The following is a 16,815-nucleotide window of genomic DNA, read 5'->3' on the forward strand; positions in this document are numbered from 1 at the left end:
CCTACGCTTAGAAAACTATTCTACCTTAAAATTCGAACAAGTTGCATTTTGCAATGTGTTCCTGACCACAGAATTTGTCGTTCTTGGCTAAATTCAAGCCCTGTTCCACTGTTTTACAAATCTTGCTTGAAAAGGAAAGAGAGGCAGGGGCCTGCCTTTTGTGTCGGCTGCCAGCTGTTGGCTTCACGGTCAGTCAGCAGTGAAGACCGCTCCCCTTCCACTCCCCAAAACTATACAAACCACTGCAAAGCTCTATAGTTCATATAAGTTTAGAGATTATTATTTCTCTTGTGTTTTTTCTTTTCTTTGTAAGTGGAAACAAAAAGCAAAACAAGGATAACTACAATATGCATCAAAAAAAGTAGGAAAAGCAGCAAAGTAGCAAACCCAGGCAGGGAACAGTGCAGAATCATTTCAGCATTCTGAAGTGCACCAGCAGCCACAGAGCAAGAGCTTGTTTACGGCTCACGTTTTGCTGGAAAAATCTATGTAAGATCCCAAAGCATCATTTAACACATTTTTCAATGGCAATGGAAGGTTTACATATTTCTATATAGTTGCCTAAGTCAAAATGTGGAGAAAATATATTGGAAGAGCGCTTGCTTCTAATCATGAATAACATGTTATCACTTTTTATGGTCTATACTGATGATGCTTAGATAACAGATATAGCAGGGAAAATATGAAATGATAGCCATTTAAATGAAAAGCTGCTTACATCTGAGCCAAGGGAATTAAAATAAAATCCAAGAAGACATCCGCATATATTTTCCACCCTCACCCCTACTCAATTACTTGCATATTTGTTATGTTGGAACTCAACAATGTCACATACCAATATCAAATGTAAAATATCTATACATATATAGGTCTATCTCTTTACAAATTTCAGTGAGGACAACAGCTTTATTATCATTTCTTTACTTTTGCCAAAAACAAGGATAACGATAAAACAAAAACCTGATGCATGATGCCATTTGGGACTCGGTTGTCACTTGGTAGAGAGGACAGGGTCCTGTGAACACTGAAGCAACAGACACCAGCCGTTCCAGTGGGCAGGGGGCAGTGTGGCCCTACGTTCAGGTGGCGAGTGAGGAAGCAGGAGCCTCTCTCTAGTTGAGGCCGGGTCTCTCAGAAGCCCCTCATCTCCTGGCGAGTAAAACTGCACCATCCACGCGACCGACGTCCCACTGTGCTGGTTATATGTTTCCTCACGATTTATTGGCTGACTGCTTAGCTACCATTTTTATTTTTACAAATAGAATTTATCTTCAGGGTACAATATTTCATTCTACTTTCAATGCTTCCTCACTCACCATACTTTCCAATTTTTATTTGATGATTTAGACGTCTCCACGCTGTGGGGACCCCAGGCTTGTGCAGACATCTGTGGGAATCCAAAGATGGCGTGATACGGAGAAGTCAGAATGTGGCCAAGCATCCTAAATCCATCGTCTGCGTCCCCTCTAGTGTGTTTTGTATCAGTGTCAGGAAGAATTAGCACTAACGTTTGGATGTTGATTTTATCCACACCAGGAAGAAAAAGTAGCCAACGAGTAGGTGGAGTCACTTTATCCAAAATATTGTATAACTTGGTCTTTAAATAGCATGATGAAAACTCGTTCTTATTAGGCACACATGTAGCAGCCCGCAACTCCTGCTTTCAATAATACGTGAATCTTTAGCTTGAATAAATTTTTACAATGCCAGAGGTAAAAAAGACATCCAAGGCTTACTGAAAAAAAGGTTTCAAAAACAATCATGTACCTAGGGCTGGTGAAAGAAAAAGCTCAGAAAATGCAACTTTTTTCAAAGCATCCTTCTTTGAACACGTGCTACCTTCACTGGAGTGTGCCTCCATTTTTGCATTTTTGGGTTGACTGAAAACCTTAATTTTCATTCAGGCATAGAAGGTTAGTGGTGAGTGAGCTTTGGGACAGGCCTGCGGGACTCAGCATCCGAGGGGTCCTGCGCTCCACTGGTGTGGCTGGGAAGTCGGTCTAGACATGTGGCTGGCTTTTCAGTGTTGTTTCGTTTCTTGCCCAAATCTCTACCAAATATTCACCATCTCTCCAACACCCACGTCGCCAGACCATGCACTTCTGAACTTCACGTGGCCTGGGCTCAGGACTTCCATTTAGATGTCATTTTCCATGAGTCTCTGGTCCAGATGGATAAAGGCACCCAGGAGAAAAAGCACCGCGGGAAGCCGAGGCAGCGGGTGTCCAGGTCCTTTCAGCAGAGGCCACGTGGAAGGGACTGTTAAGGGGCTGGTGGGGGAAGTTGGGAGGAATGGGGAAAATGGAAGTGAATTATTTTGAGCCTGTTCAGACAATATGCTAGGAATGTTCTGGTTTTTATTTTGTTTTGTTTTGTTTTTTCTCAGCGTTGTGAAGGAGATACTATCATATCCTTTAACAGCCCTGGTGATGTTCGCTGCTCTGCACAGCACACGGTGACTACATCCCAGATCCAGAGCTGCGGAACTCTGGGGCCACGTCTCCAGCGCCGCATTCGGCGGCACACGGAGGCCTGAGAAGGCGGGAGGGGTCAGTCTCTGGCTTCGAGTAGCAGCAATACCAGGACAACCATAGCTGAGTCATGTCAAGATGAACCATATGGCATTACCATTTTTTCACAGGTCAGGGCAAAGAATACTGGTGAATTCATGGGTTTCAGCCTAATTTAAAATGTGTGTATTCTTCAAAGTCTTTTAGGAGCTGTGGGGATTAAAAGGGCCGGCAGGGGCTCAGAGCTCCGTTGGCTGGGTCTGGGGTCCCAGCTCTCATCAGTGACATCGCCCCGCAGCCCCAGGGCGGCCGCAGCACCCGAGCTTCCTCGGCTTCACAGGAGGGAAGTGCTCCCTCGGAGACAAAATATTTTTCCCAAAAGGAGCAATTCATCTACTTGGCTATAAATCAGCAGCAGAAGCAGAGGGGCAGCGGGGAGGGGCGGGGTGGCCGCGGGGAGCTCAGTGCCCGGGGAGGGGTGGCCGCCGGGTGGACAGTGCACGGAGGAGCAGGGGGGCCATGGGCTGAGTCTGGGCCTGGACCCTGTCCAGCAGTCAGCGTGGCCATGAGGTGGGTGAGGACGGGCGGGAGTGGGAGACGCGCCTGCCAGGACAGCTCGGGGCTGCCGCGGGGGTGCCCCGGCCGCGCAGCGGAGCAGGATGGGCTGGAGTGCAGCCGGGGAGCGGGTACCCGGCGTCTCGGGGCTGCCCGGGCACCTGGCAAGCGTTTTTCGAGGCCTCCGTCCATCTGCGCCCCCGCCGCACCTTCCCCCACTCGGCGGCGGGTCCCCGGGGAGCGATGAGCCGCCCGTGCCTGGTGCGCTCGGATGCCCGGAGGTTTCTAGGACACCGAGGCTACCGGTGGGTATCGAATGCCCTCGAGTTGTTCACGGTCCGGCGTGGGTTCCAAAAACCGCCTTTGGTGAAACAAGGCGCCCTCAGAGCCGCCCCGCATCGGGGTGTGCCTGGGCCTGGTCCCCGCAGGTGGCTCTCGGGGCCGGTTCTCGGTGCCGCCGGTTCTCGGTGCCACCAGTTCTCGGTGCCGCCGGTTCTCGGTGCCGACGGTTCTCGGTGCCGACGGTTCTCGGTGCCGGTTCTCAGTGCCGGTTCTCGGTGCTGCCGGTTCTTGGTGCCGGTTCTCGGTGCTGCCGGTTCTCGGTGCTGCCGATTCTCGGTGCTGACGGTTCTCGGTGCTGCCGGTTCTCGGTGCCGGTTCTCGGTGCTGCCGGTTCTCGGTGCTGCCGGTTCTTGGTGCCGGTTCTCGGTGCTGCCGGTTCTCGGTGCCGGTTCTCGGTGCTGCCGGTTCTCGGTGCTGCCGATTCTCGGTGCCGCCGGTTCTCGGTGCCGCCGGTTCTTGGTGCCGGTTCTCGGTGCCGGTTCTCGGTGCTGCCGGTTCTCGGTGCTGGTTCTCGGTGCTGCCGGTTCTCGGTGCTGCCGGTTCTCGGTGCCGCCGGTTCTCGGTGCTGCCGGTTTTCCGTGCTGACGGTTCTCGGTGCCGGTTCTCGGTGCCGGTTCTCGGTGCTGCCGGTTCTCGGTGCTGGTTCTCGGTGCTGCCGGTTCTCGGTGCCGCCGGTTCTCGGTGCCGCCGGTTCTCGGTGCTGCCGGTTTTCCGTGCTGACGGTTCTCGGTGCTGCCAGTTCTCGGTGCTGCCCCCGCCCCCCAGGCAGGACCCACCACCCCCTCTGCTCTGCCCGCAGCGACCCTGTCCCTGCAGGCCCCGCGCCCCAAAGACCAGGGACCTCGCCCATCCAGGTTCCTAAATATGAAGGAAATGGCGGTCAAGGACAGGAAAGAGTAGGTTTTCGTTATCTTAGTGAAATGAATGGGGGCTCAGTAGATGATTCTGGTTTCGAGAACTCTCGCTGCCCCCATCTCCTGGCACTGACTCCTCAGCCACCAGCGGGGAGCTGTGCAGAGCCCGGGGACTCACTGGGGTGGGTGGAGAACGTGTCCTGTCACCCAGAGCCACCAACAAATGCCACTTTCTACGTGTGCTGAGACCTTCGAAATATCAGGGATGTCTGATGGGAGCTTTAATCATTACTTTCTGAAAAAAAAATCTCTATCTCTATCTGTATCCATATATACACTGAGCTAGTTTACGTGGTGTATAAGAGGGGTTTCTCTCTTGCTTATTGGGGTATGTTTCTATGGTGTTTATTTCTTCCCTTCACTTATGTTTATTTTATTTAAATATTGACTATAGTATTTTATGGTAACACCAATAAATCATGGGTCTTTTCCCTAAATTCTCCCTGCATGGCTCTAAAAGATAAAGGCCTATTCTCAGGGAGCCACGAAGTCATTACTGAACTCAGTACAATTTTTAAAAGACTTAAAACTATCCAACCCCTACTTCATTTTCAAATGTTCACCTAATGATCCCAGTGAAAGTGAAAGCAGAAGACATTGATTAGGCTTTGCCTCTGATAGAGAGTCTCCCACTTTGGGAGGAAAATTCTGGAAGCTGTTCTAAGCCATAGGGAAGCCTCAGGTCACTGCCTGCTGGGAAAAAACAATGGAAGCAGGAGGACGATTTGTAGGACTTTACAGTGCTGGTCTTGCAGAGGCATCACTTCCAAGGTCAAGGAAGGCAGCTTTGAAAAGGGAGCCTCCCACTTGGAGTCTGGGTGGTGAAAACAAGCGAGAAACACTAAAGATAATGAAATCAATGAACTCACACAACCGAAGCGGGGACAGAAAGAGAATGATTTATTTTTAAGAACAGCCCTTCACTATAGCAACAGAAGCATTTGAACTACGAAAGCAAGCAAGCCATCCAAACCCTTTCAAATTACCCAATTTAGTGACTGTTGTGGCAAATAAACAAAGGAACTCAACATACAAAGGAACTTTCAAAAATGAAAACAGAAAATGAGTATCTAAGTGTTTGAGAAGATTGTTTCTTCTTCATGAATTCAATATAATTGGATAAGAAATTTCAAAGTTAAATGTCATACTGAATAAAAATTTAAAAAACTCTGACTAGACATGGGCAAATTGTAGAAAGATGTGACACGGAAAGTAATTTAAGTCCTGAAAGACACCATTAAGAGAGACAAAAATCTTAGGATAAATACTTAATTTCTAGGTATCTAAGAGAAAATGGATAAAACTGAAACTATTGTAAGGATCCCAGATGGTAAAAACAGTCCAAAGTTGAGTCAAAAATAAAGAAGAAAAATGGGTGGATATTAAATACTAAATTATGTGGCCCTGAAGAAGAAAAACTAAGCAATGGAACAAAACAAATATGATACATAATTTTATATACTCACGGAGCCCTTTGCATAATTTAAAAAATTGATCCAGAAGAGTGTTTAACTTTAAAAACAGGGGAAAAATGTCTTCAACCTCCAGAAAAATGGTGAAATCTCTTAAATAAAAAATAAAGTCAGTATTGGTCTTTTCAAAAGCACTATACAATGTAAGAGAACAGAAATCTCCAGTAACAAAAGTGAGTCAAGTTTTGTTTTGTTTTGTTTTGTTTTGTTTTGAGATGGACTTTCACTCTGTCACCCAGACTGGAGTGCAGTGGAGCGATCTCAGCTCACTGCAACCTCTGCCTCCCAGGTTCAAGCGATTCTTCTGGCCCAGCCTCCTGAGTAGCTGGGATTACAGGTGTGCACCACCACTCCCAGCTAATTTTTGTATTTTCAGTAGAGACGGGTTTTCACCATGTTGGCCAGGCTGGTCTCAAACTCCTGACCTCAAGTGATCCGCCTGCCTTGGCCTCCCAAAGTGCTGGGATTACAGGCATGAGCCACCGCACCAGGTCAATTTATAATTCACCCAAGTTTCTTGCAGGTATCAAATCTTAGGAAACCACAGGTGCTTAGAGCATGTGACTGCTTAGGGCTGCTTCAAGGTACAGCTGCCTCACCCACCTGCTAGGAGAGAAGCACCGAAACCCAGAAAGCACAGAGAAAGGGAAGTAAAAACACTTATGGTGTGCATGGAATGCATTTTATGGTATATCTTAGATTAAAATACAGGTGGAAATAAGTGAAAAGTAATTAATAGAAGTAATAAAACAGAAGGAGGAAGAGAAGGCGGGGAGAGAAAATTGAGAAAATAGATTTTGGATTTTTAAACACCGTTTTCTACAAAAAATCTAGAGCTATTTTAATATGTGGCTAATCCTATTTCTAGTGCATAGAAAGGAGGAAGACACAAAAAACGAAAAGGAAAACATTAAAACTAATAGGGACGACTGAACGTTCACAGACAAGGCTCCTACTGGCAAGAATAATTATGACATAAGCATGCAAATTATTATAATTAATTGCTACATACTGATTTTTTTTAAAAAGACTCCATTATTAAATTCAAGAACAAAACAAAAAAGAAATGACTTCTGATTTTGCTACTGTTATAGTGACTATAACTCTTCATTGGGCAACTGGGTAGCTCAAAGGGAAGATTTACATTTTTCTCTTGCCTTTAAAAGAGAGACTCTAGTACTTTCCAAGTTGGTAAAAGGAAGTTTCTTCTTTATAGAATAACAGCTAATAAAATATGGAAAAATGAAGAATTAGAAAATCATAACTTTGCAATCCCTAAAGAGATAATTGATTAGATAAGGTTCACCAATGGATGCTAAAATTATTAAGTCAAAGTTAATAAAAAATAAATACTCACATGAGTTTAGGTATTAACCCACAGATTATTTGCTAATTGCACAAGGGAGAAAAAGGACCATGTCACTGGAAAGATGTGATGGCCAGTGCCTTAACCAAATGCTCAACGGTGAGTATCAGGAGCAGTTGAACATGATGTTCTGAGCCTCCTGGGAGGTGCAGCTGCAAGTGCAAAGTGTCACCTGGGACTTTAGCCTGAATCTAGCCAAGCCAGTTCACACAGGACACAGGGCTCATGAGAACACGCTGTATGACACTAACAGGAGGCGGTTTCTTCTTCTTCAGTTCTTTTGCCTTTCTTCCATTATGCAATAATTATTAGTCAATCTTACTTAACAAGAGTAACATTTGAGGCTGTGAATGTTTTTGGAGGAAAATTTGACTAAATTCAACAGTTTTTGACCTATGACATCTTCATTGTTGAATTTGATTTTTAATAGTTTTCACTTAAATTTGTTTTAGTGAGCTGAAATTATTTTTGAGATTTTTTTTTAAATTCTAAATAGTTAGGTTTTTCATACCTTTTTGAAGTTTTAAACCTGACATTGAAAATTAAGGGCAAACCTCTTAAGTCTACAACTTTATGAGTTTTTATGTTAAACATACTCGTCTATGCCTTTATGATTTTTGCATGTAAATATACTTATGTATATTTAATTATGTAAATATACTTATGTATATTTACCCAAATCGAGACAGAGAACACTCTTGGCACTCCCACTGGCGCCCTTAAGGTAGCTCCCCTTCAATAGCTCCCCAAAGTAAGCATTAGCTTGAATTCCAAAACTGCAGACTTGTATTGCCTGTTCTTTATATCACATAAGTGGACCATAACCTCTGTATTTTGACTGCCTTGTTTCGCTCAGTAATGTGAGTGAACTCATTCTTCCTGCCCCTTATACAGGCGTGTAGAAGTCCTTATATGAACATCTCGCTTGATGGCTGTGCTCTATCCGTTTAACACATTGCTTGATGTGAATAGAAAATAATCTGTTTTTAAAGCATTGCATTTTTATTTATAAAAGAGCTAATACACTGCTAGGTTGGTGGACATTTTTTTTTGCATCAACTTTACTGTTTTCAGCTGCCGACATTTCTGAGTATTTGGCCGTCAGTTTTCCAGCATCTCCTCTGAGGGTGCCGCGACCTCCCCTCTGGCTACGTTCCAAGCTTCTCCTTGTCTTTGGGTTTTAGCTTCTGACTGGGGCATGCCTATGCCTGGCTCTATTTGCATTTATCCTGCTGAGATTTCTAACAGTTCTTGAGTCTTTGCCTTTGATTATTATTTGTTTTTATCTGGGGGAAATTCTCCGCCATCATCTCTTTGAGCAATGCACCCCTCTCATCTATGTGGTCTTTATGTCATGTGCCAGTATCTCGTGCTCTTTTCTGTCATTTTCCAGCCTTGTTGCTCTCTCTGCCTTTGCCTCTCCTCTGCTATCCAATCTGTTAATCTATTTATTAATTAAGGTCAGTGTTGGCTTTCTAATATCCATTTGACATTTTAACATAGGTTCTGTTTCTGCAAAAAAAATGCCCCATCTTGTCTTCTATTTTAGTGAATATATGAGTCAGTTGCTTTTCAGTCTGTCTGCTGCAGCTGATAGCCAGGCCTCTGTCCCTCTGTTTCTGGGCTCTAGTTTTTGCTGTTGTCCCAGATCTCATTAGGGCTGGTAATTTTTCATATAACAATGTTTGACATGTTATGTGATAAGCTTCACTGACTCTGGAAGGTTCCCTCGGAGGGGGCTGGTCCTCTCGTACATGGCCAGGCAGCACTGGGGAAGACCACGTCTGCAAAGCCTCAGAGCAGCCAATGGAGGCAGTCGGCCTCTCTTGAGTCTGATCCCCTGAAGTAACTCTTGGGGTCCCAGATCAGACCCTGAGGGTTTATAAGAGTATTTACTGTTCTAAACGATTTTTAGACTATAATGTTTGTCTTCTCATTATTCATTAAATCTTACTTCTTAAGAAAAACTTTTAAAAGTTCAAGTTGGATTTATATCATCTTTTTTGCTGAACTTCTGAGCCTCTTAGTCTGTACCAGCTGTGGATTCATGAGCACTTCGACGGAGAAGAGAGCAGGACCTCCTGTTTTAACCCTCCTGAGTTATCTGGTTCCTAATCCTGGCTTTCCACACGAATAACATTTGTGTCCACAGCACCCTGAGGTCCGCAGAAGCTTTGCTTGTCTGCCACCTCCCACTGGGGCTCCCCGCCTTCCGCTCGGATGCTGTCCCATGCCAGGATGCCTAGGGGTGCACCCTGAAAAGAATCATCTGGCCTCTCTGGGGTCCCCCACATCAGGGGTCTGCCCCTTCAGGACTGGCTGCCTGAGCCACCTCACAAATGATTTTAATCCTTTTTAAAATTAGATGTCCCTGTTTTCCTCACTCTCCAGAATGCTGATCTTCCTCAAGCTATGGCACACCATGGGCCCCAGTTTCTTTAATAAATATTATCCACCCGAGCCAGTGAACGCTTGGTGCCCAGCATCGGTGCTCTGTGCACTCACTCTTGCAGCTTCGAAAAGCGCCAGACTTACTCTTGGAAAAAGTGCAGTTGAAATGTGACGCCTTGATATTTTATTAGCAATCGTGCACCTCAAACCTTCAACTGCCACAATAAAAGTAAATGAGCATAACTTACCCAGGGTTTCTTGACGTAATTATAGCTTTTCAAAAGAGGAAAATTTTGCCTGGAAACTAGCTTTCAAGCAGAAAGGAAGGCAGAAAAAGTCCTGGGACATACACCTGACTGCAAAGACAATCATTAAATTGGCTGGAGAAATCTGCAAATACAGCAAATGCTATTTTTGTCCCAAGCTCGAATAGATCATGGCTTTTCCTAATTTAAACATCTCTGGTAAAATAGCTGAGTTTGAAGTCCAAATGTGGCAGATGTCTAAATAAGTTCTGTGCCTGTGTAAAGAATAAGCTGCCATGCAGGGGAAAATGCCTCTTCTGTCGGCAAGAAGTGGTTTCTGCTTTGGTGCTGTTCCCTGTGTCTGCATGTGCAGGAGTGACTTTGTGCACCTCCCTGGGTTTCTTCACCCTCCTGCCCTGTGGCTGAAGGGAAGTATGCCTGAGCGAATTCATGTTGCCCTCCCCGTTTTGTCTCATGGATCATGAGTTCAGACCTAGCACACTGTGCAGCACCCAGAAGCACAGTCCTGCTCAAAATGCTCCTTTCCACCGACACTTATCTCCCCTGCCTCTGACTTCCTCAGCATCACCGCTCCCTGCAACAGAGCCAGAGCTGATTGAAAAACACTTAGGTAAATATTGAGTTCCCCAGTCTGGGGCGATTAGAATTGTCATCTTCCCAATTCTGTGAAGAAAGGCATTGGTAGCTTGATGGGGATGGCACTGAATCTGTAAATTACCTTGGGCAGTATGGCCATTTTCACGATATTGATTCTTCCTACCCATGAGCATGGAATGTTCTTCCATTTGTTTGTATCCTCTTTTATTTCCTTGAGCAGTGGTTTATAGTTCTCCTTGAAGAGGTCCTTCGCATCCCTTGTAAGTTGGATTCCTAGGTATGTTATTCTCTTTGAAGCAATTGTGAATGGGAGTTCACTCATGATTTGGCTCTCTGTTTGTCTGTTGTTGGTGTATAAGAATGCTTGTGATTTTTGTACATTGATTTTGTATCCTGAGACTTTGCTGAAGTTGCTTATCAGCTTAAGGAGATTTTGGGCTGAGACAGTGGGGTTTTCTAGATATACAATCATGTCATCTGCAAACAGGGACAATTTGACTTCCTCTTTTCCTAATTGAATACCCTTTATTTCCTTCTCTTGCCTAATTGCCCTGGCCAGAACTTCCAACGCTATGTTGAATAGGAGTGGTGAGAGAGGGCATCCCTATCTTGTGCCAGTTTTCAAAGGGAATGCTTCCGGTTTTTGCCCATTCAGTATGATATTGGCTGTGGGTTTGTCATAGATAGCTCTTATTATTTTGAGATACGTCCCATCAACACCTAATTTATTGAGAATTTTTAGCATGAAGGGTTGTTGAATTTTGTCAAAGGCTTTTTCTGCATCTATTGGAAACTACCATCAGAGTGAACAGGCAACCCACAAAATGGGAGAAAATTTTCACAACCTACTCATCTGACAAAGGGCTAATATCCAGAATCTACAATGAACTCAAACAAATTTACAAGAAAAAAAAAAACAACCCCATCAAAAAGTCGGCGAAGGACATGAACAGACACTTCTCAAAAGAAGACATTTATGCAGCCAAAAAACACATGAAAAAATGCTCATCATCACTGGCCATCAGAGAAATGCAAATCAAAACCACAATGAGATGTGTGGCCATCTCACACCAATTAGAATGGCAATCATTAAAAAGTCAGGAAACAACAGGTGCTGGAGAGGATGTGGAGAAATAGGAACACTTTTGCACTGTTGGTGAGACGGTAAACTAGTTCAACCATTGTGGAAGTCAGTGTGGCGATTCCTCAGGGATCTAGAACTAGAAATACCATTTGACCCAGCCATCCCATTACTGGGTATATACCCAAAGGACTATAAATCATGCTGCTATAAAGACACATGCACACGTATGTTTATTGTGGCATTATTCACAATAGCAAAGACTTGGAACCAACCCAAATGTCCAACAATGACAGACTGGATTAAGAAAATGTGGCACATATACACCATGGAATACTCTGCAGCCATAAAAAATGATGAGTTCATGTCCTTTGTAGGGACATGGATGAAATTGGAAATCATCATTCTCAGTAAACTATCACAAGAACAAAAAACCAAACACCGCATATTCTCACTCATAGGTGGGAATTGAACAATGAGATCACATGGACACAGGAAGGGGAATATCACACTCTGGGGACTGTTGTGGGGTGGGGGGAGGGGGGAGGGATAGCATTGGGAGATATACCTAATGCTAGATGACGAGTTAGTGGGTGCAGCACACCAGCATGGCACATGTATACATATGTAACTAACCTGCACAATGTGCACATGTACCCTAAAACTTAAAGTATAATAATAAATTAATTAATTTAAAAAAAGAAGTTACTGAAAAATAAAATAAAATAAAATAAAATACTCTAAAAAAAAAAAAAAGAATTGTCATCTTCCAAACCTTAGACATGGCCAGACATCCCCAGTGGGCTGCCAAATCCTGTCACCGTGTGCCTTCCTTAATCCAACCAGGAACTGTGTTTTACCTTTCTACCCCACACTCCTCCCAAGATGCTCAACCTTGGTTTCATCATTGTACAGATGGCTGCAGACTCAGTTGTCCAACATTCCCCTGGGGTGAGCTGATGACCTGAACCCTAAGAACGCTCGATTTGAGAACAATGTGATTTAGTGTTGTTTTTAAAGACACTAAGTTTTGCGGTGCTTTATGAAAAGCAATGGCCAGCTTGGAGAGTGAAGTGGCAATGGGGGTCATTGAAGCTCAACTGCTGTGGTCTTCCCATCCTTCAAGGTCAAGGGCACTCATCTGATGTGTAGCCTGGGGGCAGCAACAGAGACTAAAAATCCAGGGAATCAAATGAGGCAGTTCACAGCCAGGGAAGAGACTTCCATAGGGATGAGGACTAAGGCAGATAACTCCAGGATAAAATAAAAGTGACTGCACTTTCTTGCACTGCTTGGAGTCGGCTACCAAGTATGCTCAAGCATTGCTAAGAGTATCCTGATGGACGGATGCAAAAAAACAGATGTCTGCTTAGTATGCTGTGGTCAATAAATAATTAACTTGCTTTGTAAGAAGCTGTCTCAGATTGCAAATAGACCGTACCCTAGTAGGAAAGGATCAATAAAGCACAATCACTCTATTGGCCAATTAGCTGCATATTATTTAATCAAATGTGGAAATCCATCTTCTTGATGATCCATGCATTAGCCTGTTATTGCAATGCTGTAAAGAAATACCTGAGGCTGCATAATTTATAAGGAAAAGAGGTTAAATTGGCTCACAGTTCTGCAGGCTGTACAGGAAGTATGGTGCTGGCGTCTGCTTCTGGTGAGGCCTCAGGAAGCTTCCAATTGTGGTGGTGGGTGAAGGGGGCCAAAGCATCACATGGCAAGAGTGGGAGCAGGAGAGGAGGGGGTTCCCAGACGTTTAAACACCCAGAGCTCAGGTGAACTGACTGAGTGAGAACTAACTCATATCAAGGGGTTGGTGCTGAACTGTTCATGACATGACTGATTCACTTCTGTGATCTAGTACCTCCCACCAGGCCTCCCCTCTAACACTGGGGATCACATTTCACATACGTTTTGGAGGGACACACATCCAAACCACATCAGCACACATGGTCTCCAAATGTCATTTAGCCCCTCCTCATGCGATGTCAGAAGGCTGACGCCTGGGGGTGTGCAGCTTTCCAGGACATCCTTCCTGAAGGGTTGCAGCAATACTTTAAGTGTTACATACCCATGTGCTATGCCAGTGTCAGCTTTAAGGATGTGTAATAGCCAAGGGTTGAGCCATCTGGGACCAAATATCCGCTTTGCATAGACAGTGTCCATGGTGTGGATTAACCTGCTCCTGTCTGCTGCTGGGACTGGGTGCCGGCTGCTGCCGTTTTCATTTCCCGGGAGCCCTTGCTGGCCTCATAGGGTAGCATCACATGAAGGCTGCCTCCCGATGCCCAGCGCTGAGGTGTGAAGACTGCACTGTGTTCGAGACACGAGTTCCACGTGGTTGCTGCCTCCTTCACACGTCCTGTGATGGATTTCTTTTTATCAGGTGGTCTCTTGTCTGTGGTTAGCATATACACATAGGACATGAAAGACACAGGGCATGACTACAAGCCATGCATTTTCCCAGGGATCAGGACACACAGAGAGAGTTCTCCCTGCTGCCCTCCGCCCACATCATAACGAACACTCAGCTGGAGAGCTAAGAGAGGGGTCAGGGTTGAGAGGTCAAGAGTTCTGGGGTCCCTGATTATCTTCCGTCGTCGGGAGAAAGAGGAATCTGTAAGGCCTAAGCGGATGGCATGGATGCATGTAATGAAGACCGGGAAGCAGATCCTGGGTGGGAGAGCTGCTCTAAGCAGAAAAACAGCCAACTCAAATCTACCTCTGGCTGAGCCTGAGCGTCAGAGCAAGGCAGGGAAGAGTGCCCGGAATGCTGAGCCAGCCCAGGCTGCTGCAGGCTGCACTGCATGGACCTTAGCACCAGCAATGTGTGCACAGAAAAGCCGGTCCTTTCCGTTGTCACCGATTGCTTACCAAAGTGAATCTGGGTAGCGTCGACTCTGCTGTTGAAAGTATCTGATTTTCTGCTGCATGGATTCCTTCCCTAGGGCCAACTGTGATTGCAGACTTAATCACCGAGAAAACTTGTACCCTATAGGATAATTTTCTTGGTTTCATGCCCATACCAACTGAAACACCAGACAGACTTTTGTAAGTACCACAGGCATGTCTGGTTTTTAAGCTTCAGCAGAGATTTTTTTTTCCATTAACAATATGAAACAGACTTAAAAGAAATACAACAAAGTAATGTTCTCCTGATTTTTTTTGTGCTGATTTTGCATTTCCCTAAACTGACATTAATTTTTAAGCATACTTAATTTTAAGCTTTTTAATAAATAATATATTCAGTAGAAATCCACTCACATGCTATTCATAATTTGGAGAATTTTTGCTTATGTTGCTTTTGTTGCAATGGGGAGTCACAGTACTTTGACTATAGAAACACACACCAAAATTATGATTAGAATGTAAGTAAAAAAACAATGTGGTATGTAGCTGTCTAACAGCACTGGATGTAAAAGAATTAAACAGCACAATACATAACAATACAAAAGACAACTCCCAAGTATGTGCCAGGTTTCTTCTGATGAATTGCAAAGAAGGGATAACAATATATATTATTATTATTTGCTACTATCCCATTAAAGAAGTCTGGTTCTGGCCTCCAGTGGACAGAGGCACAGACAGGTGGAGCTGTACCTGTGGATGTACACGTATGCACACATACAAGTCCGTATGTCTAGACCGGCAGCCTTGAGCACTCAGGCCAGTTAATATCATCCCATTTTTTATGTTTCAGCTGATACTATTTTTGAACTATAAAATAAAATGTCTAAACATCAGAAAACAAGCATTCTATGTCTCTCTTGGAGGCAGGAATATCTTTTCATTGGTTGACAAAGTGCACTTCATATCTGAAGTTAGATTTTTATTCTTCCATGATGAGGATTGTGACTCAATACGTCAGTTGGTCCTGGCTCTCTTGATCTAAGGACACACAATATTTCAAGAGTATTTGGAATGCTTAGCTTAACTAAGATGGTTTCAGTATGAATGGGAAATCGGGACATACATATTCAAAATGCATGTTGTTTTATGAATAAATTAATCCATTAAGAATAACTAAAATGATATGACAAAATGCAAAGACATACTTGTCTCTAAGTTTTAAATAATGCAGTGAATAAATCTATCTTTCTTGATATAAACACACAGAGAGATAAAATTATCTGGAAAGATATATACCAAGGTGTTGTTGGTTTTATTGTGGGTAATTTTTTAAATATTTATTTTCCTAAAATTTTGAATTTTCTAAGTGTCCTGTAAGAGATATCTATTTCTTTATTCTTTAAGATCACATTTTTTTAGTACACAGAATTATAGGTGTAGAAAAACATTGATGCAAACATCCCCATTGAAAAATAACATTTATATAGTTTAGTTTAGAACTTTTGAATGCAAAAGAAATAAACGTAGGCTGGGCACAGTGGCTCACACCTATAATCCCAGCACTTTGGGAGGCTGAGGCGGGTGGATCACGAGGTCAGGAGATTGAGACCATACTGGCTAACATGGTGAAACCCCGTCTCTACTAAAAAATACAAAAAATTAGCCGGGCGTGGTGGCAGGCACCTGTAGTCCCAGCTGCTCAGGAGGTTGAGGCAGGAGAATGGCATGAACCCGGGAGGCGGAGCTTGCAGTGAGCCGAGATAGCGCCACAGCACTCCAGCCTGGGCGACAGAGCAAGACTCCGTCTCAAAAAAAAAAAAAAAGAAAGAAATGTAACACATCCATGAACAGAATTAACAACAAAAACCATCTCAATAGATACAGAAAATGCATTTGATAAAATCCAGCATTGCTCCATGATGAAAACCCTCAACAAACTAGTCAAAGAAGGAACATACCTCAAAATAATAAAGCCCATATACAACAAACCCACAGCCAACATCATACTGAACAGGGAAAAGTTGAAAGCAATCCCTCTAACAACTGGAACAAGACAAGTGTGGCCGCTTTTACCACCTCTATTCAACATAGTACTAGAAATCCTAGCCAGTGCAATCAGGCATGAGAAAGAAATAAAAGGCATTCAAATTGGAAAGGAGGAAGTCAAATTATCACTGTTTGCTGATGATATGATCTCATACCTAGAAAACCCTAAAGACTCCTCCAAAAAGCTCTTAGATTTGATAAATGAATTCAGTAAAGTTTCAGGATACAAAATCAATGTACAAAAATCGGTAGCATTTCCATACACCAATAATAATCAAACTGAGAACTGAATCAAGAAGGCAATTCCATTTACAATAGCTACACAAAATAAAATACCTAGAAATATATTTATCCAGGGAGGTGAAAGATTTCTACAAGGAAAACTACAAAACAGTGATGAAAGAAATTGTAGTTAA

General features: G+C 43.8%; 2 long non-coding RNA genes across 2 annotated transcripts in view; one reads left to right on the plus strand and one right to left on the minus strand.

Moving 5' to 3' along the window:
• Window positions 1-2,916, plus strand: part of LOC105378145 (uncharacterized) — a 59,736-nt gene extending 56,820 nt beyond the window's left edge. Inside the window, exon 4 of the long non-coding RNA XR_943300.3 lies at window positions 2,387-2,916. This is a non-coding gene — a long non-coding RNA (uncharacterized LOC105378145). The remainder of the gene's footprint in view (window positions 1-2,386) is intronic.
• A 10,059-nt stretch (window positions 2,917-12,975) lies between these two features.
• Window positions 12,976-14,448, minus strand: LOC101929460 (uncharacterized). The gene is made up of 2 exons (NR_134622.1): window positions 14,378-14,448; window positions 12,976-13,865 (listed from the first exon to the last, which is right to left on the minus strand). It is a non-coding gene; the product is annotated as an uncharacterized LOC101929460 (long non-coding RNA).
• Between the last annotated feature and the right edge of the window lie 2,367 nt (window positions 14,449-16,815).

This window comes from Homo sapiens, chromosome 6 (assembly GCF_000001405.40).
Source record: "Homo sapiens chromosome 6, GRCh38.p14 Primary Assembly".
In the NCBI taxonomy this organism is placed as follows: Eukaryota; Metazoa; Chordata; class Mammalia; order Primates; family Hominidae; genus Homo; species Homo sapiens.